Source organism: Homo sapiens, chromosome 4 (genome assembly GCF_000001405.40).
Source record: "Homo sapiens chromosome 4, GRCh38.p14 Primary Assembly".
NCBI lineage: Eukaryota > Metazoa > Chordata > Mammalia > Primates > Hominidae > Homo > Homo sapiens.
Window position 1 is genome coordinate 76,050,454 of NC_000004.12, and position 24,390 is coordinate 76,074,843.

The 24,390-nt window shown below is 39.1% G+C and overlaps 1 protein-coding gene across 45 annotated transcripts in view; it reads left to right on the forward strand.

The window, feature by feature from the left end:
• The window catches only part of ART3 (ADP-ribosyltransferase 3 (inactive)), a 101,597-nt gene that overhangs the window by 39,264 nt on the left and 37,943 nt on the right, over positions 1 to 24,390 (forward strand). For 23 of the 45 annotated variants that reach the window (NM_001437647.1, NM_001437642.1, NM_001377173.1 and 20 more), the window contains exon 1: positions 24,256 to 24,366. The exons of 6 other annotated variants lie outside the window; for them this stretch is intronic. The gene's annotated coding sequence lies outside the window, so the exon portion shown is untranslated. Of the gene's footprint in view, positions 1 to 3,662; positions 3,822 to 4,508; positions 4,558 to 7,525; positions 7,618 to 8,138; positions 8,173 to 24,255; positions 24,367 to 24,390 lie in introns of those variants that run through there. 16 more of the 45 variants (XM_047415695.1, XM_047415696.1, XM_047415699.1 and 13 more) reach the window with 10 other exon arrangements.

Here is a 24,390-nt window from a genome sequence, read left to right on the forward strand (position 1 = left end):
AGCTAGACACAGGGTGCTGATTGGTGTATTTACAAACCTTGAGCTAGATACAGAGGGCCGATTGGTGTATTTGCAATCCCTGAGCTAGACATAAAAGTTCTCCATGTTCCCACCAGACTCAGGAGCCCAGCTGGCTTCACGCAGTGGATCCCGCACCAGGGCTGCAGGTGGAGCTGCCTGCCAGTCCCGGTGCTGTGTGCCCGCACTCCTCAGCCCTTGGGTGGTCGATGGGACTGGGCACCGTGGAGCAGGGGGTGGCACTTGTCGCGGAGGCTCGGGCCACACAGGAGCCCATGGAGGGGGTGGGAGGCTCAGGCATGGCGGGCTGCAGGTCCTGAGCCCTGCCCCGCAGGAAGGCAGCTAAGGCCCGATGAGAAATGGAGCGCAGTGCCAGTGGGCTGGCACTGCTGGGGGACCCAGTACACCCTCCGCAGCTGCTAGCCCGGGTGCTAAGCCCCTCATTGCCTGGGGCCGGCAGGGCCGGCGGGCTGCTCCGAGTGCGGGGCCCGCCAAGCCCACGCCTACCCGGAACTCCAGCTGGCCTGCAAGCCCACGCGCAGCCCTGGTTCCCGCTGGCGCCTGTCCCTCCACACCTCCCTGCAAGCTGAGGGAGCCGGCTCCGGCCTTGGCCAGCCCAGAAAGGGGCTCCCACAGTGCAGCAGTGGGCTGAAGGGCTCCTCAAGTGCCGCCAAAGTGGGAGCCCAGGCAGAGGAGGTGCCGAGAGCAAGCGAGGGCTGTGAGGACTGCCAGCACACTGTCACCTCTCAAAAGTACAGTAGTATAGTACCTGATGCTGTTTTTTAGAGGGATTTAGGCATGCCAATGACTTTAGGGAGCTGCCGGTGGATTTTTTTTTAAGAGTTCTTAGTAGAATACTACTGTGAGTTTCTTATAATATTATTAAAATACCCGTCCCAGAAATGAGACAGATTCTGCAGGCTATATTCAAGGTAGCCATTAGGCACTGGGTAAGGCTCTATTTTTTTCATCAAAACTTGGAGTAAATTGTATAAATAACATTAAAATCATTAAGACGTTGAGGAATAATGCATGTTTTAATGCCATTGAAAAGAGTTCCAAAGTGATGATGAATTTTTTGTTTGTTTGTTTTAGACCTGCTCTATCGCCCAGGCTGGAGTGCAATGGCGTGATCTCGGCTGACCGCAGTATCTGCCTCCCGGGCACAAACCATCTTCCCACCTCAGCCTCCTGAGTAGCTGGGACTATGGGCACACACGTCCACAGCCAGCTAATGTTTTTGTATTTTTGGTAGAGTTGGGGTTTCGCCATGTTGCCCAGGCTGGTCTCGAATTCCTGTGCCCAAGTGGTCTTCCCACCTCAACCTCCCAAAGTGCTGGGATTACTGGCATAAGCCACTGTACCTGGCTGACAATGAATTTTAAATAAGGATGTTTCTGAGTTTATGTTGTATCTCTCTCTCTCTCTTTTTTTTTTTTTTTTTTTTTTGAGACAGAGTTTCGCTCTTGCTGCCCAGGCTGGAGTGGAGTGCAATGGCGCAATCTCAGCTCACTGCAACCTCCGCCCCTGAGTTCAAGCCTTTCTCCAGCCTCAGCCTGCCGAGTAGCCTGGATTACGGTCGCCTGCCACCATGCCCAGCTAATTTTTTTTGTATTTTTATTAGAGACGGGGTTTCGCCATGCTCACGCCTGTAATCCCAGCACTTTGGGAGGCTGAGGTGGGCAGATCACCTGAAGTCAGGATTTTGAGACCTGCCTGGTCAATATGCTTTATCTCTTTCTGGGACTTTGACATAAGAAGAGATTTCCAAAGGTTGTATTCTGCTAATGTAGTCTGGTATTTGAGAATGAGATATATCAATGCTCACATTTTATAAGGATGACTTCATCCTTGATATGTGCTACCCCAAACATTGCAGTCGCAAGTGCATGCACAGAATAAGGGCCAGTTTTCAGTGACTACCGTATCACCATACGGAACTTCTCATGCTTGAGAGAGCCACTGGTAGCCATCTACCTTTCCTTTCCTTGTCAGTATAAATTTGGGGGATACAAATATAATTTTGTTACATGGATATATTGCATAGTGGTGAAATTAGGGCTTTTAGTGTATCCATCACCAGAATAATGTACATGGTACCCATTAAGTAGTTTCTCATCATCCACCGCCCCCAACCCTTCCAAGTCTCCACTGTCTATCATTCCATACTCTATGTCTATGTGTACACATTATTTAGCTCCCACTTGTAAGTGAGAACATGCGTGTACCCAATTTCTTTTTTCCTTCTTTTTTTTTTTTTTAAGACAGAGTCTTGCTCTGTCATCCAGGCTGGAGTGCACGGGCACGATCTCGGCTTGCTGCAACCCCTGCCTCCCAGATTCAAGCAAACAGATTCAAGCAATTCTCGTGCCTCAGCCTCCCAAGTTGCTAGGATTACAGGCCTGTGCCACCGCACCAGGCTAATTTTTGTATTTTTAGTAGAGACGGGGTTTCACCATGTTGGCAAGGCTGGTCTCAAACTCCTGGTCTTAAGCCATCCACCTGCCTCAGCCTCCCAAAATGCTGGGATTATAAGCATGAGCCCCTGCACCCAGCTGGTGTGTACCAAATTTCTGACTTTAAAGGAAGGGCAGTTATTTGTTCCCTGAAAGTTGAGCACAAAAAGAAGAAATAAGCTTTAGTTTCCAGTGATTAAGGATTTGAAAAATAGTTACTGGTAGTTCAATTTACTTTGTTTTTTAACTATGCCTGTTCATGCTGATCACGTACAGGTTATCTCTATCTTGTCACTGGAATTGGATTGTTTCTCATTGGCTTAATTAAATTTATTGCACAGGAAGAGTCTTCCTGGAACATTTAAGCTATACCTGATTTATTAACTACAGCTCTCTCATTTTCTTATAAATTAATTAAGAGTTTGATCTACCATTCCTCTTCTGAAAAGAAAACAGTGTTTCTCTACCTTTTTGGTAGAAGAGTTACTAAAAAAAAACTAGCTATTATTTGTCTCTTTTTTCAACCTGGCAAAGCACAGTATATAAATATTGTTTGTTTTATCTATAACCAAATTTAATTGCCTTGGAATATTACTTTTTGCCAAGTCTACTGCCAAGTTAATTTTATTAGGGTATAATTAACAGTCGTCAAAGAAAAGCTACTTAATTTATTTCCACAGGAATTCAGAAGAAAAAAAGAATATGGGTTTAAAACCAATTACTTTCCTTTAAAATTGTAGGTAAAATTCAAAGTCGCATATGTTAAAATTTAGAACACAGAAGTAGAAATGATCAAGTTCTGCCAGCTCATTGAATAGACTAACCCTCTTTTCCATGTCCTCTGTACCTCTGTCAGAATGTTTGCTGTCATTTGTATGTATGTGAGCCAGGAACAGTGGGTTGTACAAAACAACTTCAGCATCACCATAAACTTCAGAGAAATCATGTTTCTCACAACAAAGCAGCTCTGTGCATGGCCTTTAGTTGGCTGCCTGGAAAATGACTGCACTCGACAACTGCCAGGTCAATGTAGACGTTCATGTTAATTTTTCAAGTTGGGAAACAACATGCCTATTGTTAGGGGATAGAAACGTGAGAGATTAAGCAATGAGCAACTTTACAAGCGACTAACTGAAGGAAGCTTGATTCAGTAAGAAGGGAGAAATAGTAGCTTCACTTACCATTATTAGTTTATTGCTTCTGCTACTCAGAGAAGCTGGAGGAGAGGAGAAAATAGATCTGGTCGATATTATTTCAGGGCTAGTTGGAAAGAGAATAAATGCACAAAGGAGCTTGCTTGGAGAGATGACCCCTGCATGTGAATGTTAGAAGAGCTATGTCTGCAAGGTATGAAGCTTCATTGGATTTATTTGTATTTTTAAAAAATAGAATATAGTAAAATGACCATTTATAAGGAGTATTTCAGGACACATCATTTGCCAGTTTGAACTAAGTGTTATTAAACTTAATGTTTTAAATAGATATAGTTGAGAGTGCGAATATAAAAAAAATAGGACAGGAAAGATGTTTTTTGTTCTAGCTATTTTATTTCTTATATAATCTTGATACTTAAATTACTTTCTTTTGGATTCAAAACAAAAATAATACTTTTAAAATATTTAGGCTGGGCTTAGTTGCTCATGCCTGCAATCCCAACACTTTGGGAAGCTGAAACAGGAGGATCACTTGAGCTTGGAAGTTTGAGACCAGCCTAAGCAACATAGTGAGACCCCCATCTCTACTAAAAATTTGAAAAATTAGCTGGTTGTGCTGGTGTGCACCTGTAATCCCACCTATTTGGGAGGCTGAGGCTGGAGGATCACTTGAGCCCAGGAGATCAAGGTTGCAATGAGCTATGATCATCCACTGCACTCCAGGCTAGGCTACAGAGTGAAACCCTGTCTCAAAATAAATAAATAAATATTTAGGCTATGTTTTCTAAAATTTTATACATTGTGCTGAATGCTATTTTCCTTGTAATGAAAAGCCAATAAAACATTTCTGTCAATTTTCTTGTTTTCTTTCTTTTTTTAGAGACAGTCTTGTTATGTTGCTCAGGCTGGACTCAAACTCCTGGCCTCAGGCAAGTCTCCTGCTTTGGCCTCCCAAAATGCTGAGATTACAGGCGTGAGCCACAATGCCTGGCCTCTTGTCATTTTTCTAAGGCTTTCCTAACATCCTGGTTTCACCTTTGAATCTACAACCTAGCTTACTTTCTGTGTTTCTTACTTCCCTGTTCTTACTTTCAGTATGAGCAGTAAAAGGTGTAGTCAGAGAAATGTGGCTCACTCTTCAGCTCTGAGTGTCTACCTCTCACCTTGTATTTGTGCAGTTGGTGGCTGGGTATGTGGTGGTAACTGGATGAGTGATGGAGTCCAGAATAATTGCCATCATTTGTTTAATGTCTCCCATGTGGCACGTAATGTACATAGTGTCTCACTAGTCCTCACAATAATTCTGTAAGAAGGGGCACTGTAAAAAGGACATTAGTGGCAATTTAGAGAAGAAGAAAGTGGGCCTTTAAGAGTTTATATAACTCCCCCAAATCACTTAACACATTTAGTTAAGAAGCGGGGTCAGAGGACAGCAGCAATGAAAAACACAAGAATTCCTTTCTGAGATGAAACGGGAGTGAAAGGCATCTCAAAGGTCTGACAATGTAATTCCCAGACCCAAGCCTCCCTGGAAAATAGAAAATGCAAAAGAAGATTAGAGCAGAAGACTAAATGTGGAACAATTTGGGATAAATAAAATCTGAGGGTCCTGGTGAGAAAGCAATTAAGAAAGCTAGAGAAGGTGTCTAGAGCCCCATTTAATTTACATTTCATTGAATAACAGGAGAATGATTATGTGAGACTTGTTAAAACTTGCATTTTGTTGGTAAAGTTTATCCTCTACTTCCCCATTGTGATTTGTAGCAGTAACCCTTAGAAAATTTCAGACCAGCCAATGTTTATTCCAGGGACTGGGTAAAAAGAGAGAAGCCTGTGTTATTTTCTGCATTTAGCTGTGATGAACAGAATCTCTGATCTGAGGCAGTAACTGATGTCAGTGCAATAGGTAGCCAGCAGGTCAACTCCTGTCCCTAAGGATTTATACCAGATGAAGGTCTTGTGACCTTCCAGAGGAAACAGAAAGGACAGAGAAGGAGGCAACGAAACTACTTTAAGACTTCGGTGACAGTGCTGCTCCCTCAGTGCCATCCCTCTACCCCACTACCTTTCTCCTTCTTTAGCTTTTGTTCTAAATTATTTCTCAGAGTCCCAGTAACCCTAGGTGTTATCTCTCTGCTCATTCTAGGTCCCTTTCCTTCCAGAACCCTTGAAGTTTGAGTTTACATTTTTGGAAGGATGCCAGGGATTAGCCCAGTTAGTAGATCAAGCTTCTAAGGGTTAAACTAGTGGAGGGAGACTTTTTACCTCTACCTGTGGGGTCTTCCCAAAATCTGATGAATATGCAGAGCCCGAAACTGAGTCTGGAAAGCCAGAGAGGACTTTGAACATATTCTAAAACTAAGGACTCTAAAAATAGGTCTTAAAAGCCAGGAATCAAGGGTTAGGGGAAGAGAAAAAGAGTTGCAGGTTTAGAGTAAGGGGGCAGCGGGCCTGGAAATTGCCAAGAACCAGCATTATAGTTTAATAGCACCAGAGTAATGGGAGGATGGGTTGGGGGTGGACAGTGTGTGTGAAGAGACCAGGAAAGGTGCAAAGTTCCTGTTGCCCATCAGGCTGAGGAGGAGAAAGAAATGTATTCCTGACATCTCACGTTGAGATTTAGAATACCTTTCTCCCTAGGAAAAAAAATACGTACTAGATTAGATTTCTAGGCTAGCCTGCTAAAATAGTTTCCTCATAATGAACTTGAAATACAGATTCTAAGTATCATGAGAAAAATCTTGGTAGAAAACAGTGGGTTATCAAATGAACTTTTGAATTAGGTTCCACTAATAAGAGGGGAATCACCTGTAAATTAGAATTAAAGAAGAGTTAGCCATACTTTAGTAGTTTATCATGGCTTACACATATTCATTAAGATTATTTACTATTAATTCTTTAAAAATTTAAAAAATAATAGTGACACTTTTGAAGAGTATTGATTAGTTATTTTATCAAATATCCCTCAGTTTGTCTTATCTGATATTTTCTCATAATTGGAATGAGGTTTTGTATTTTTGGCATGAAAACTACAAAATTATGTTTTCTTTTCAGTATGTTGTATCAGGGTTCATAATATTGATATGTGTTATTATTAGTGATGTTTACCTTGATTATTTTATTATATTTGCGATCTACTAGGAAATACCTTACAGGTTGGAGGAGACTTAAGAGAAATAACTAAATGCAATGTGGGTTCTGACAGGAACCTAGGAAAAGGATATTAGTGGCAAAATTGGTGAAATTAAAAGAAGGTGTGAAGTTTAGTTAACAATATTCCAATGTTCCAATTGGTTCCAAGTACCAACGCTCATTTCCTGTTCTAGATAATTGTACTATGGTCATAAAAGATGTTAATATTAGGGGAAGAGGAGTGAAGGAAATAAAGGTACTCTCTGTACTATCTTCTGTAAATCTAATATTAACTCAAAATAAAAAGTTAAAAAATAATGCTATCTAACACTTATATAGTGCTTCCTATTTGCCACATGTACTCTGCATCTATTAACTCTGGCTCTTTTCAACAACCCTGTGAGGGGAACTGCTATTATCACTATTTGACATATGAGGAGACCTAGATACAGAGAGGTAAGAAGCATGTCCAGTGTCACATGGCTGTGAATTGGTCACATAGCTAGAAAGTGGCTGAGTTGGGATTTGAACTGAGGCACTTTGGATCCAGAAATCAATTACAGCATACTGGCTTTCAATGTGCTATATATGCGCATAGTTTAAAAAGATTCAGTTATACTCTTCTGTGAAGCAATCTCTGTTACAAGTTTTTTGGCTTTTCTTTTAATCCTTCAAAGAATAATTTACTTTCGAACATTGATAGGAAAGCAACTCACTTTGGTTTTTATTTGTAATATTCAGAGCTGTGCTATGACCATGTTTTAGTCTCTCTTCAGAATCTTCTGATGGCATGCTAACAATTGTAGATGGCAACTGTGTTGGAAACTAGGGGATCCCATCTGAGTTGGTCAAAGTCTGTGAGTAAAGTGCTAATTGCTCATGATTACTATGTTATGATTAAGTACAATATGATTAAGTAGACTCAAACTTCATTCAGAATTTAACCAAATTCTGCAGTTGCTCTCATGAGTACTTTGGTTAGTATGAATGCCTTTTTCATTTTACTATTGGAATTACATTTTCTTAACTCAAAAACTGTCAGCTATTGTAACAATGACTTTGTTTGTAGTCTTTAAAATTGAAGAAAGAGTACAACATGAATTACTATACATTAGACCTTTGACAGTCTGAATGAATTGCTTGAGTTTGGTCTGATTAGTGTACCTAATGTAGAGACTGAGCTTCCTTAAATTGCCAGAGGTGTAAAGTTTCACAAGGTACTGGTTGCTGTAAAGGAAGAATGACTTTGAGTTAAATAGAGAGTTGATTAAATGCATATATTGACAGTTACTGACTCAGTAAGCTTCATAATTCTAGGAATCAATCACTGCTGATTCATATGTTTAGATATATTCATTTCTGTCTTTCTGTTTCTTAGGCCAAAAAGAAAAAAGAAAACCAATATTTAAGAGGTGAGAAAAGTAACAGGAATTTCCTATCTATTTATACACATACACACAAACACAACAAACCTGTAGTCTTTGCTGCAGAAGCAGCTTGTTTTTCATTCCATAGGGTATTTTTTTTTCTGTGCATTGAATTAAAATTTGTAAACAGCAGGAATTGTGGCTTGTTAAAAGAAAAACCTTAGACAAATTAAATTTAGCAGAGCTTAATTGAGCAAAGAATGATTTGTGAATTGGGTAGCCCCTCAACCAGAATAGAGAGGTTCCAGAGCTCTGTGTGGTGAAAGAAGATTATGGATAGAAAAAGGAAAGTGACGTAGAGAAAATGGAAGTGAGGTACGGAAACAGCTGGATTGATTACAGCTTGAAGTTTGCCTTATCTGAGCATAGGTTGAACAGCTGGCTGTCCTTGATTGGCTGAAACTTGGTGATTGGCACAAGAGTAGATTACAGTCTGTTTACACATCCAGTTAGGTTACAGTTCACTGTGTATGAAGAAACCTTTAGGTTATAGTTCACAATGTATGGAGAAACCTTTAGGTTATAGTTCACAATGTATGGAGAAACCTTTAGACTGAACTTAAAATATGTAAAGAGACAGCTTTAGGCTAAACTTAATTTAACAGACTTTTTGGTTGCCTTTGGATTGGTGGGGCAGGGGAAGAATCTAATAGCAGATATTTGCTTTGCAAGGTCCAAAGATCAATTTTGTTTTCTTGCTGTCTTCTCGTTATTTTCTCTTGTTTTTTTTTCTTTTTTTTTTCCTGAGCTTTATTTGCATCTCCAGTCCTTTTCTCTATCCTTACTTTTTAATTGACTATAATATGGAATTGAATTTTTTAAAAAATCTGTTAAATTTATTTTTAAAAGTTTATTTCTTGGTCTTGCATTTAAAAGGCTGTGAATTGAACCTTTCTTCTTTAACTAAAAAAAACTGTAATTAAGTGGCTTTTTTCTTAAATATGTTCTCAACTAATTTTCCTCCTTGTAGGTAGCTTAAAGGAAAAAGAAATGTCCTTTCAGTACTCTCATTACATATTCAGGCAATCCCAATTTGTATGGACAACTAAATTAAAGTAACAAGTGACTCTGACAATTTAGAGAAATGAATTAGTAAAGTTTAGTAGCATTAAGCACAGGAGGATTTACTTAAGAGAAAAAGCAGGCAAACTTTATAAACACAAGTTGGAGAACTATCAAGTTTGTACATGTCTCACAGAGATGAAGAATACAGAATAAACCACTGGCCAAATATAAGTTAGATATGTAACACTAACACATAGAATTAGCAAAGAGGATGTTGTGGGTTTATATGGAAGAAATCTGTTTGTGAGTCACTGGTTAGGAAATCAGAACCTACTTTCCTATAGATGTCAAATGGTAAGGGTGATTGTTCAGTCTGAGAGGTCCCTCCAGGGCAAGGAACCTTGTCTAATTTATCTTCCATCTCATCCTGTTGCCTTGCATGGAGTCAGGTCTTAAAAAACTCATTTCCGTAGTTCCTGGTTTATAAAGTCTAATTAACATGTAAGATACCCCAAATTCAAGCCTTTGTCCTATTTTCTTCTTAACCTACTGATGTCAGATGTTTTTCTATTTTGGAACATAATACTGTTGTAGAATATTGTGGAATCATAAGTTACTGATTAAGTTACTGATATCATAAGTACATTGGTAATATATAACCAAGCCCAAAGAACCCTTATTTCATATCAGTTTGATTTATTTTGGCTGTGACAATCAACTGTTTTCTCTCTCATGAAAATCTCTTTTCTTGAGGCTTCTTATTCTCCTTCTCAATCTCCTTCTTGAAATCTTGTCTCTCTCTGCACCTAAATGCTAGTGTTCTCTAGGGTATTATGCTCTCTATCTGCAAGCCTACACACCTATTGGCTAACATGGTAGGCAGAATAATTATTCCCCAAAGATTTCCATGCCCTAATTCCTGGAATCTGTGAATATGTTATATTACATGGCAAAAGGAACACTGGACTTATATTATGGACCTCAAAATACATATATACATTGGGTGGACCCACTGTAATAACATGGGCACTTAAAAGAGGAAGAGGAAGACAGAGCAGTCAGTTAGAGAGATGCAGTGGAAGAGGCAGGAGGTATTTGATTATGAGAGATTCCACTTGCTGTTATTGGCTTTGAAGATGGAGAAAGTGGACCACAAACCAAGGAATGTGGGTGGCCTCTGGAGTCTGTGAATAGCCCTCAGCTGACAGTCAACAAGGAAACACAGGTCTCAATCTTAAGTCTTCAAGAAACTGCATTCTGCTAACAACCCGAATGAGCAAAGAAATTGATTCTCTTTTAGACTCTCAGAAAGTAACTTAGCCCTGCCAACACTTTGATTTTAGCCTACAGAGATCTATGTTAGGCTTCTGATCTAGGAACTTTAAGATAAGAAATGTGTATTATTTTAAGCCACTAAGTCATGATAGTTTGCACAGCAACAGTAACAAACTATTGCAGCTAATGACTCTCAAATTTAAATGACTATCTCAGATCTTTCTCTGAACTAGTCAGTTGCCTATTGGATAGCTTCTCTACAGTATCTGGCTGGAACCTCAAACTCATTACATTGAGATAAAACTCTTTTCCCTAAAACCTGCTCATATTTTTTATCTTGATGTTGCTCCTAACCATTCAGACTCCTTAGCCAGAAATCTGGGGGTCAGTTTAAACTCCTTTTCTCAAAATACACTATTTCTCTACACATCCCTATGCTATATAATTGATACCAAATCATTTTGATTTGGGGTTTATTACCACTGATTTAGGTCAAGCTCCCACCACTTCTCACTTGGATTTCTCAGGTAATCTCCCAACACATCTTCCTGCCTCTTGTTAAAATGTCTTGGTAATTTATTCTTCTGTTCTATGAAAGTGACCTTTTCAATCAGATTATGTTTCTCCTCTACTTCATGGTTTCCCATTGCCATTTCAGTCAAGTTCCAATTTCTAAGCATTACACACAAGGCGCTCTTTATGATCTGATTCCTCTTTCCTCCCCAACTTTTTAACTCTTTGTGTTCCATAAAACATATCATGCTGTCCAGCTGTATTAAATGGCTTGCATTTTCTTGAACATGTGCTATGTATGCCATCAGTGCCTTGTACATACTTTTTTATCTGACTGGAAGGCCCTCCTTTCTTTGTTTCCCTAACTCCTACTTCTTTAGTCTTCAACTGAATTGTCACTTTAGTTAGGGGCTCAGTAAATGTTGGTTTAAAGAGTAAATGAGAAGAATGCCAAAGAATAAGAATTGTGAACCACTGAAGTGGATTTTTACACGAATTTCTAGAGTCCCTTTCCCTAAAGGACAATTTTAGATGGCAATGTTTCTGGAATAGTTTGAGGGTAGCCTTTTGTTAGTTTTATGTAAATGCTAAGAAGAGAGCATTTGAGTTTGGTATTTGGAGTAGGAATAGACAGGAACTCACTAAAGAGTTACTTCAGAAGAGAAAGTCATTATGGATGATGGTCTCGTATAAGAAAGCTACCAGACCTACTCATGTAATCATCCACTGTTCTTATCTGCAAGAGGGATTACCCCTTTTAGTTTTGCTTCCTATTTTTTAAAAGCTAAGATATCCTGTTCCAGAGAGAGTAAGCTTACATTAAAAAGCATTAAGTATCTTTAGTTTTCTTTTAAATTTGACTTATGTTCTAATGATTGTTACTTCATGGGGGTTTCCAACCTTGGGAAAAAAGTTAATAACTATTTTTTTAGGTTTATTATGAGAACTATACAGTTTAGTCAATATAAAATATACAGTGCCTTGTGTGTAATTAAGTAGTTAATAAAGGCTAGCTATTAGTTGTTATAAATTATCGTTATTGCTAAGCATTTAAAAATGATCCACCATTTTGCAGAGATTTAAACATCTCAGAGCATCTCATCCTTATGTGAAAGAAAAATAAATCTTTTTTTTTTTTTTTTTTTGAGACAGAGTCTCGCTCTGTTGCCCAGACTGGAGTGCAGTGGTGGGATCTCGGCTCACGGCAAGCTCCGCCTCTCGGGTTCACGCCATTCTTCTGCCTCAGCCTCCCGAGTAGCTGGGACTACAGGTGCCTGCCACCATGCCTGGCTAATTTTTTGTATTTTTAGTAGAGATGGGGTTTCATTGTGTTAGCCAGGATGGTCTTGATCTCCTGACCTCGTGATCCGCCCACCTCAGCCTCCCAAAGTGCTGGGATTACAAGTGTGAGCCACCGAGCCCGGCCCCAAGTCACATTTCAAATGCTCAGTAGCTACATGTGGTGGCTAGTGGCCATTGAACAATACACTTCTAGCTATTCTCTCTGTAAGGAATGCTTTCCTACAGCTAATCACTTGTTTAAGTCCCTTACCTCCTTCAGGTTTTTGCTAAATTTCACTCTCTCAGTGAGGCCTACCTTGACCACTCTATTTAATACTATAGTGTGCCCCAACTCCCCACACTTCACACTTCTTCATTCTTTATCTCTTTCACTGCGTAATTACTAATTTATTATTTTCATTGTTTATTGCCTGCCTTCTTTTTCTCTACTACTTCATGGACGGAAGCTTCCTGGAGGCAGGGATTTTTATTTTGTTCACTGACAACATCCCAACACCTAGAATAGTGCTTGGCCTATAGTAGGTGCTCAGTAAACATTTGTAGATTAAATGTAATGAAGGAATGAGTCATTGCAAAAACTTGTTACAATTATAAATAAGCATATACTAGATTCAAGACATAATTCAGGAAGAGTTAAAAGCATTGCTGACCAAATCTCTCTTAACTAGGTCTTGAATATATTCTCTGTACCTTATACCATTTTAAGCTGGGAGTAATGGGGAGAGAAATGAGGAGTTTAAAATGAGATTAAAAGAAGCTTATAATCTGTAGTTAGGAAGACAAGATTCACAAAAAGAAACTAGGAAAAAATCCTGAATTTTGTTGAAAAAATTAGAAAATGGACTTACAATAAGGTCTCTCCGGTTGTGCCATATATATTCCTTTGATGAGAATTTCCCAATAGGTATTTAAGTAGTCATGTATTTATATATCATTATTTGACAGAGACTCGGAGAACATAAAAACAAGAAAGCTAAAAGTAATATAAAGCCTGCACTTGAAAATTAGTTTAAAACAATGATAGTGAAAAATAGAATAATTTTGGCACTAAACATTGAATTTATACAAATCTTTTAGAGTTTCATGTATTATACAAAGTTCTGAGGAAAAATTATTTTGAACCTAGAATTATATACTAGCCAACTGTTCATCAGATTCACATTTCAAAAATGAAAGCACTGAAAATGTTTATCTTCCATGCATCCTTTTTAAGGAAATAATTTCAGAATATATTCCTACAAAACAAAGATAAATATGAAGCAAAAAGCTGTAGATGCAGTAGCATGAGACAAAAAATAAATTAAAAAAATAAAACCACTGTAGAGTACAAGAAATGGAAAAAGTACCCAGGGATTCAATTGAAAGATTTTCTAGTCTCCTAGTTGTTGGCCTGGAGAGCAGTTTGTCCAGGTTAGAACTGGTCTTCAAGAATAAGAACAAAATGGATTCCAAGCAATAGAATTGGAAATAGAAGCACATTAGGTACACGATGGAGACAAATACTACTTTTCCCAACAACCACCATGATCACCACTACCATCACCACCAAAAAAGGCACTCAGAAACTAAAGGAAAAATAAAAAATTTTAGTGATCTAAATACAAAAGAGACAAAAGTGAGGCATGATTTTAAGGGATTAGTGGAGTATGGGAAAGGAATATTCATTTGATCTTGACATAAAAATGTTTTGTTTTGAGTGTGAATAGTGATCATGACATTGAAACAGCAGAGATGGAAATAAAATCCTAACTTGTGTCTTGTCTTTATACTAAAGAATATATAGCTGGTTGCAATAAACTTGCAGTAAACTATACTTTTGATTTTTAATTTTAGAATAGACCTTTACTTAAAGCATGGCTACAGAACAAAAAGCAAATGTTATTACATTTTGACAACATAAAGATAAAAGAACTACTGATGGAAGCTGGGAGGTGAAAGGCAGAAAGGAGGTGAAGGGAAGGGTAACAGTGCTAACGTCCTCTTATTACAAAATGAGTACCAAAAAGAGAATATTGAAAGTGGATGCTTTAAAATATACTAACAATATTGCTTCAATTATCAGTGTTGGTAGAAAGATGGGAGTTGGAATATTGAGTAAATTTTTTTTTTTTTTTGAGACAGGGTCTCACTCTGTCACCCAGGCTGGAGTGCGGTGGCAAGATCATGGGTCACAGCAACCTCCACCTTCCAGGTTCAAGCGATTCTCCTGCCTCAGCGTCCTGAGTAGCTGGGATTACAGGCACCTGCCACCATGCCTGGCTAATTTTTGTATTTTTAGTAGAGACGAGGTTTCACCATGTTGGCCAGGCTGGTCTCGAACTCCTGAGCTCAAGTGATCTGCCCACCTTGGCCTCCCAAAGTGCTGGGATCACAGGCGTGAGTAATGGTAGCCATAGTGGTGGTGAGTTCAATCAAGGAGGAAGTGTTTGCAAAGCAAAAATTGTGAGGTGCACTTCTTAACACCACAAAGTTCAAAAACAAACAATTACAAATATGGCGAGCTCACTGAGTGCTTTTGTACTGAATCATTTAATCTTGTGCATTTGTATTATTATTGTATACTTTTGGAATTTTTATTATACAATAATTGGTGTTCATTCATTCATTTCCAAACCTGTTCACTTAACATGCCGATCTTTGGGATGTGGGAGGAAACCAGAGTCCCTGGAGAAACCCACACAGACATGGGGAGAATGTACAAACTCCACATAGACAGTAGTCCTGGCTGAGAATCAGGTTTTTTTCTCATTAATGGTATAATGAAATGGCCTTATTCAAGGACCTCCTGAACCTCCCACACTCTGATATAACCCTCCAACACACACACACACACACACACACACTCGTTGAAATCATTACCATAGAGACTCCTTGTCCTTGATAAGAATGTGTCTCTCTCACTGAAATAGGGGGAAAGAAAGTTGAGAATTAAAGCCTAGAGGCCTAAAATCTACCAATAGGATTTGTCCACAAATATAATATTACATTATAATAATATATACATATATGAATATGTTGTATTATATAACATCAATATATTAAATATAATAAAGCAATCTAATCATTATATATTGAATGGTGTAGGGATAATACGCATTATTTTGAAAATACTAAATAGATATATGTTTCATTCCCTTTATAAAGTCTGTCTGTACTCTGTAACCTTTAAGATTATCCTTAGTAGTCTGAAGGAAGGAAAAGGTTGATAATGCCAGAATAAGAAGTACATAGGATAAAGGTGAAAGAAATAGCACATAGGAAGCAATGCCTAACAGGAATTGGGAGTGGAAGACCTGATTCTAGAACAGAGAAAAGGAGAAAAGAGAATTCAGACTCCTGTGGCTCCTCTGGACTGAAACCCTAGAAAGCATTGATGTAGGGGTTTAGAAACACCCTAGTAATTTTCAGGGAATCTTTTAGCAGCAGAGATTTTTTCTTTTCATACTTCTCCTTGTGTTATAGGATCTTTGGGGTGTTGATTTTCTTCCCCTGTAAACCTCTGTTGCCAGTGGGGCCTTTGCCCCATTTCTTGTCCTGCGTCCAGGAAGAATGAGGTATGCAGACAAATGAAGGGTGAGGAAGAAGAAGAGGAGATTTATTTAGTGCTGTAACTGCTCAGAAGGAGACCCACAGTGGGTAGCTCCCCTCTGTGGGCAGGCAGGTCGTCTGTCAAGTGTTCAGCTCTCAACAGAGAGGAGGCCCTGGAGATGGCAGCTTCTCTCTGCTCGCTGGTCATCCTGAGGTCTGCTTTTCTCTGCAGGCAGGTCATTCGGCAGTCTCTGCAGATCTCTGAAGCTATTAGCAGAGAGCGTAATTAGCAGAGAGGGTAGCTCCTCTCTGCTGCTGGTCATCCCATCTTCTGCTCAGCTCTGGCTGAGCCCGGCTATTTATGGACCTCAGAGGGGAGGAAGTGCACACTGGTTGGCCCATGGGTGGTCATGGGCAGGCCTGGAAAAGGCACCAGTGTCCACTCCAGTCAGTGGAACTGGCAGCCTGGGCCCCAGCCTTCAGGCCCTCCCTGACCTGACAGAAGGACCTTACTGGAGACCCACCCCCTTCCACGTGGGACTCTGCCTCCTACTACTCATGACGCCCAGGCTCAGCCTGACTTTGCTCCAAGATTGGAGCAGGAGCCAACAGCAGGGAGAAGCCAAGCAGTGGGAGCAGGCACTTTTAAGCTTGTGAGGGCAGGGGGGCCTTCCCAGGCCCCCAAGAGTGCAGGGATACCTGAGTCTGCTGCCATAGTTTGGGCAGTTGCACCCCTGCCCAGGAGGGCAGGGCTCCTGCCTGCTCTGTGGAACAGGCAGCCCTGGCCACACCTTCCTGCCACAGCTGGGATGATGGCAGGCCAACTGGAGTGGCTGCCACCATCACTTGGGCAAACTGGAGAATTTTTAAGGTCTCTTAGAAAAAGCATTATATTTAACAAGTTGAACATAACAAAGTAGCAGAATGAGTTGGGAAAGGACAAAAGATTCTCTCCAGTTTTCTAAAATCAAAGTTGTCATGATAGAATTCCTAGGTTTCCCTTTGGGCTTAGGGAAGGTAACTGGGGTACAAACCAGTTTATGATCTTCTTTAAGAAGATGCCCGCCAAGGGCAAAGGAGTGCATCTTGAGTTTGTGGGAGGCCCACCGAACAGGGTGAAAGGACATAGAAATTGTTTGTCTTTAGAATGCCCAATGCCAGGAGGCTACGATGGGGGAATTTAGCAAACATTTTCCCAAAATCTATAAAAAAACACTAAATTACTGAGCTAGCAATTAAATGTCACCATTGCTGGAGACCAGACTAACAGCTAGAACTAACAGAGAACAGAGAACAAACTACAATTTTTCCCAGTGTCAGTATGTCATAGTGTGAGGAATCATGTGCAAAAAGGAATATGTATTTCTCTTTATTGGAAATCAACGTAGTTCACAAACCCCCATGTAAAACACTAATCTTGTCAGTTAAAATTTGGTAACAGTAAAAACACTTAATCTTGTCAATTAAAATTTAGTCACTTCAAAGTTGAAAGTTTTCTTTGAATAAATATTTAAATTCAGAGTTCTTTTTCTTCCTAAGAGCAGTGGCCTGCCATTGAAGAAATATCTTGTTCTGGTGCTGACCTCTAGCGGTCATTGGCCTTCCCCGAGGTATCTGATCCTGCTTGGTCTTTGGCTGATAGAAATTTGCACTCACCACTGTAATGTTGTGCCTTGGCATCCAGTCTCTAAAATATAAATACCTTGTATTTATCTTACCACAACCCTAGGCTCCTTTGACTCACCTAGTTCTCTTTCCTCATCATTCATGGGCCATTGCATTACAGATACTTTACTGTGGTAGTCTTCAAATTGGGATACATATATATCTGGGGGTACACAAATTTCAGGGAGTATGTAGGCAAGATAGTTTTTGTTGTTGTTTGTTAAAATTTGCCTTATTTAGGTATGACTTATGTAAATAAAATTCACAAATTTGAAGTGTACAGTTCTGTGACTTTTGACAAATGTATATCATCATGTAACATCTACTACAATCATGATATAAAACATTTCATCACCCAAAAAATGTGTTCCCTCATGCCCATATTGTGGCATGTATTAATAGTTTATTCTTTTTCAAAGCATGTTTATTGAGATACAATTCACATACAATACCATTCATTAAGGAAGACTGGATAAAGAAAATGTGGTACATATATACCATGTAATACTATGCAGCCATAAAAAAGAATGAGATTATGTCCTCTACAGGAACATGGATGAAGCTAGAGGCCATTATCCTTAGCAAACTCATGCGGGAACAGAAAACCAAATATCACATGTTACCACTTGTAAGTGGAAGCCAAATCATGAGAACACATGGACACAAAGGGGGGACCAACAGGCAGTGGGGCCTACTTGAGGGTGGAGGGTGGGAAGGGGAAGAGGATAGAGGATAAAAAAAAAAATAACTGTTGTGTACTAGGCTTAGTACTTGGGTGATGAAGTAATGGGTACAACAAACCCCTCTGACACGAGTTTACCTATATAACAAACCTACACATGTACCCTTGAGCCTAAAATAAAAGTTTAAAAGAAAAAAAATTCATTCATGTAAAGTATTCACTTGTATGGGTTTTGTTTTTGTTTTTGTTTTTAAGAAATGAGGTCTCACTGTGTTGCCCCAGTGGCATTGAACTCCTAGGCTCAAGTGATCCTCCTTTAGCTACTCCAACCACTGTGCATGGCTTAAATAGTTTTTATTGTGTGTACAGATTTGTGCAACCATCACTGCAATCATTTTTAGAACTACTGATACATGCAACAACATTGATAGATTTCATAGTGTTATGCTAAGAAGTTAGTCATAAAAAATTACATACTGACTGTATGATAATAGTTAACATGTCATGCTGGGAAAGGCAAAACTGGTGACAGGAAGAAGATCAGTGACTTCCAGAGCCTTGGGTGAAGGGAGGAGATTGACTACAAAGGACATGTGGTGACTTTTTTGGGGAGATGAAATGTTTTCATTACTCTAAAAAGAAGCCTAGTACGCATTAACAGTCTTCCTCATTTCCCCATTATACGTCCAGCCCTAAAAAAATCAATAATCTACTTTCTGTCTGTATAGATCTGTCTACTCTGGACATTTCATGTAAATGTATCAGTACTTAATTCCTTTTTTTTTTTTTTTTTTTTTGAGACACAGTCTGTCTCTATCACCCAGGCTGGAGTGCGGTGGCACTATCTCAGCTCACTGCAACCTTCACCTTCCGGGTTCAAGCGATTTTCCTGCCTCAGACTCCCTAATGGCTGGGATTACAGGCACGCGCCACCACACTTGGCTAATTTTTGTATTTTTAGTAGATACACGGTTTCACCATGTTAGCCAGGCCAGTCTCGAACTCCTGATCTCAAGTGATCCGCCTGCCTTGGCCTCCCAAAGTCCTGGGATTACAGGCATGAGCCACTGCATCCGGCCTTAATTCCTTTTTATTGTGGAATAATATTCCAGTGTGTGGGTATATCACAGTTTGTATATCCATTTACTAGTTGGTGGACATTTGGACTGAAATCTAGACCACTTTTTGACTATTATATTTATAGATATATTTATATTTATATTATATTATAGATAATACTGCTATGAACATTTGTGCACAAGTGATTGTGTGCACATATAACATACCCAAGATGTAGGCCTCAGAGTGGAATTTCTGGATCTTGGGCATATACCCAAGATATATGCCTAGGAGTGGGGAAATTTCTGGATCATGTAGTAACCCTATGTTTAACATTTTGAGGACATTTGTTCCTTTTTATTGCTGAGTGTTATTTCATTTGTTTATCCATTTACCAGTTGATGACATTTGGGTTGTTTCTACCTTTTGACTATTATGAATCAACCTGCTGTGAACATTTGACAGGTGTGAACATACACTTTAATAATTTCTTTTAAGTATAATGAATTCCTGTTCTTTTAAGTATAATGAATTCCTGTAAGTAGAATTACGGGGTCATATGGTAAATATATAAGTTTAACTTTATGAAAACTGCCAAATTGTTTAAAAAATAGCTGTATCATCTTGCATTCCCATCAGTAATGTATGAAAGTTTCAGTAGCTCCATATTCTCATCAACATTTTATGTTGTTAGTCTTTAATTTTAGCCATTCTAGTGGATGTATAGTGGTTTTAATTTGCATTTACCTGATGCTAATAATGTTGAACATCGTTTTCTACTTGTTTGTCATTTATATATCTTCCTTTGTGAAGTGTCAGTTCAGATCTTTTGCCCGTAATCATTCAATAAAATAATCATTTTATCCTTGCTTGAAAAAGCTACAGTCTTTATTCAATCCAATTTAGCTTAGTCTGCATCTACCATGGAACTGAACGTAGCTGGAGAAAAATACAACCATCTTAAGTGATTTCATTTTAAATTCAGGTAGCCCCTTAATGCAGCCCAGCAATCATAAGGCATTCACTCTTCTCCTTTTCTAGATGACTATTTCATTCTTTCTCCAATTTCTTCAAGTCTCTGTCACTTAAACCATCATCTTTTGTTACTACTTTTTTGAGAAAATTGAAGCAAGTAGAAAAGAATTTTTATTGCAACCCACTTCTTTCCAGCATCTGCCAATATACTGTGCCTTTCCTCCTGTTCATATTAGATGAACCTCTCCTGCTCTTATCTAAGGCCACCTCATCTGCTTGTATGCTATGTCTCATCCCCTTTTGCCTACTCAAGAAGATTGACCCAATCATTCTACCCTCTCTTTGCTATATTATTAGTTTTTTCCTCTATCTACTAGATCATATCCAACATGCTGGTTTTTTTCTGTCTTTAAAAATATTTCTGACCAAGCACAGTGGCTCATGCCTATAATCTCAGCACTTTGGAAGGCCAAGGCAGGCGGATCATTTGAGGCCAAGAATTCAAGACCAGCCTGGCCAACATGGTGAAACCCCGTCTCTAGTAAAAATACAAAAATTAGCCAGGCTTGGTAGTGGGCAGCTACTCTGGAATCTGAGGCAGGAGAATCGCTTGAACTGGGGAGGCAGAGGCTGCAGTGAGCCGAGATAGGGAGGCGGAGGCTGCAGTGAGCTGAGATCGTGCCACTGCACTCCAGCCTGTGTGACAGAGCGAGACTCCATCTCAAAAAAAAAAAAAAAATTCTTGGACTCTCTTCTTTACCTTTTCCCTGGTCCCACCATCAAGCTATACTGCCTCATTCCTTTTATGTCCTTTATAGAAAAACTCCTTGAAAGAGTTGAAGATATTAACCATCTCCAATGTCTCCAATTCCTCTTTTCATTCTTTCTTAGGCCATTCTAACCAGGCTTTCATCTCCACTCTTCTATCAGACCTGCTCTTAAACAAAACTTTCAATATCCTCCACATTGCTAAATCCAATGGTCAGTTCTCAGTCCTCATCTTACTTGACCTATCAGAAGCTTTTAACACATTTGATCTTTCCTTTCTTTTGTAAGTATTTTCTTCACTTGAGTTCCAGGATACTTTTTCCACACACGGTCTTCTCCATGTCAATCAATGACAACTCCATCCTTCCAGCTATTCAAGCTAAAAATCTTGGAACTATTCTTTACTCCCCTCTTTTTCTTGCAGCCCACATCTAGTTTGTCAGTACATCCTATTGCCTCAATCTTCAAATTATATCCTGCATTTAAGTCTAAACATTTTTTTTTGTTTTTGTTTTTGTTTTTGAGACAGGGTCTTACTCTGTTGACCAGGCTGGGGTGCAGTGGCACCATCATAGCTCACTGTAATCTGCAACTCCTGGGCTCAAGAGATCTTCCTGTCTTAGCCTCCCAAGTAGCTAGGACTACCGACATGTGCCACTGCACCTGGCTAATTTTTAAAATTTTTTTGTAGAGACAAGGTCTCCCTGTGTTGCCCAGGCTAGGACTCCTGGCTTCAAGCCATCCTCCTGCCCTGGCTTCCAAATCTCTGAGATTACAAACACTTTAACTGTATAATAAATTGATATCTTTATAGATCATTTCCATTTACTTTTTTGTGAGTTATTACATTTTTGAAAATACAGTAGACTTTTAGAACCCACAAATGCTTTTCCTTATCGTATCAGGAAATACTGTGTCTAATCTACAAAAGTCGGATTTTTAACAGGCTCAAATAAAAATGGCCTGTTTCTAACAACCAAAGAAACAACAAAGCAACAACATAAACATACACTCAGACATCCACTTCATACCACCTCAGCAACAGCAACAACACACATACACACACATCTACTTCTCATTACGTTTAATGCTGCCTTCCTGATTCAAGCCACCATAATCTCTGCTTGCATTATTATAATAACCTGTCATTTAGTCTTCTTACATTCACCCTACAGACCATTCTCAGCATAACAGCCAGAGTGATCCTCTTAAAAAATAAATCAGATCATGTTATACCTCTTTTTAAAACCTGTGATTTGCTCCTTTTCTCTTAGAGTGAAAGCCAGTGTTCTTACAGTGGCCTGCAGAGATTGACATGGTCTTCCCACCACCCCCTTACATCTCTGACCTTATCTTGTACTACTCTAATGTTCCAACCATATTGGCCTGCTTACTATTCCTCAAACAAAAGTAGGCATATTCTTGTCTCAGGGCTTTAGTACGTGCTGTTCACTGTGTTTGACTGCCACAGTCTTCATGGCTGATCTCTTTCAAGTCTTTGCTCAAATACCACCTTTCAGTGAGTCTTCCCTAACAATCCAATTTAAATTGCAAACACTCCATGCGCTCCTAGTCTCCTTTGTGCTACTTATAAACAAAAGCCAAAACCATAGCACTCACTACATTCTAACATACTTGCATAATTTACGTACTTATTTTAGTTATTTGACTGCCTTCCCTCACAAGAATATAAACTTCACAAAGGCAAGATATTTATCCATTTCGTTCACTGGTATATCTCTAGTACCTAAAACAGTTCCTAGCACATTTTAAGGACTCAAATATTTGTTCAATGAATGAATGAAAGAAATTTGGTTAAAAACTGGAACAAAACAGGAATGGAGGCCAGCGACAGGAGAACTTCTCTACCTCATTTCCTGTAGGCCTACATGCTTGGAACTTAAAAGCAGGTTGTTGTGAGCCTAAGGCCTGAAGACATGCAAACTTTCTTTTTTCTTTCTAACCAAACTCCTGCTTTTTAAAAAATCATATTATTTCTGGGAGTGAGTCTGTGCTGTGTATTTAATCTTGGATTGCCAAGCCAGTGAGGTGGGAAAAGGTTGGAACATATCTCTATTCTAAAGAGTAGAGTTGGATTTTGTAAATATAGGTGTATTTCATGATAATTTAAAATGTTTTCTTGAAGTAATATATGTGTGTACAAAAAAAACACATATCATAAGTATATAGCTCACTGAATTTTCACAAACTGAATTTGTCAATGTAATTGGCATCCATAGCAAAAAGCAGAACCCAGCTAACATCTCAGATGCTCCTCTGTGCCCTTTCCAGTTACTAGCTACTACCCAGGGTGACCACTATTCTGACTTCTCATGCCTTGGAAGTGTTTTGCCTAATTTTGTTCTTGATATAAATTAAATCATACAGTATAAACATGCTTGTATCTCTTTTTTTACTCAAAATTTTGTTTGTGAGATTTATCCACATTGTTATATATGGTCAGAGTTTGTTCGTTTTCATTGCTATATAAAATTTCACTTACAGTCTAACCATTCTACTGTTGATGGATATTTGGTTTCCAGTTTGGGGGTTATTATGAATAGTGCTACTATCAACATTCTATTAATGTATTTTGGTGTATGTATGCGTGAATTTCTTTGGACATTTTTGTGTTTTTTAAATCCACAGTCAGTGAACCCTAAGTGTTCCTCAGCATTGCAGTCAGTATATTTACCATGTATGCGTTACTCAAATGACAGCTGTAGTTGCAGGCATTACCAAATCCTTCCCTCCTTAATGTTATCACTGGACTTTGTCTATACTTGGGATTCTTAACATGTTGTATTTTGGTTAAGTATGCGTATTCATGTTTTTTATTAGATTTTGAGTGCTTTTTAGTACTTTGTTTTACTTGCTTATGTATCCCGACTCCTGACGAGGTACCTGAAATATAGTAAGCTAGTTGAGCGAATGGTGATAGCTGTCACCATTGCCAGTGATTAACAGAGCAAGTTTCCCTAGTTATGTGAATCACTTAGCCTAGAGTAAAATCCATGCTTTAGTTTGATATCTCAGTGTCAAAGGATTAGGAATGGGAAGTCATTTCTCTCTGAGAGAAGCCCAGAACTGTGGGCTCAGAACTGAATGTGCTGTGTGGCTAAAGGGAATTGCTATGGCTTTACAAGCCTCTTGGAGATTTAAAGTGTTAACAGCAGTGATTCCAAGGCATAGTGTGGGGGGGCCAGATATAAATAGCAGAACACAAGTAGCGTAGTGTGCCACTGCCAAGCTACTGCTGGGGGTGTTTATAAAAAGAAAAGCATTCCTGTCTCAGCTCTCACTGTCAACAACATCCCATCCTGAAGACTTGCTTACCACAACTGAGAGTGGGGAGTCAGTTTGAGGCCTAGCATCACTTAAACTTCCTCCAAAGGCACAAAAGCCAGGTAAACCTTTTGACTTATTTACAC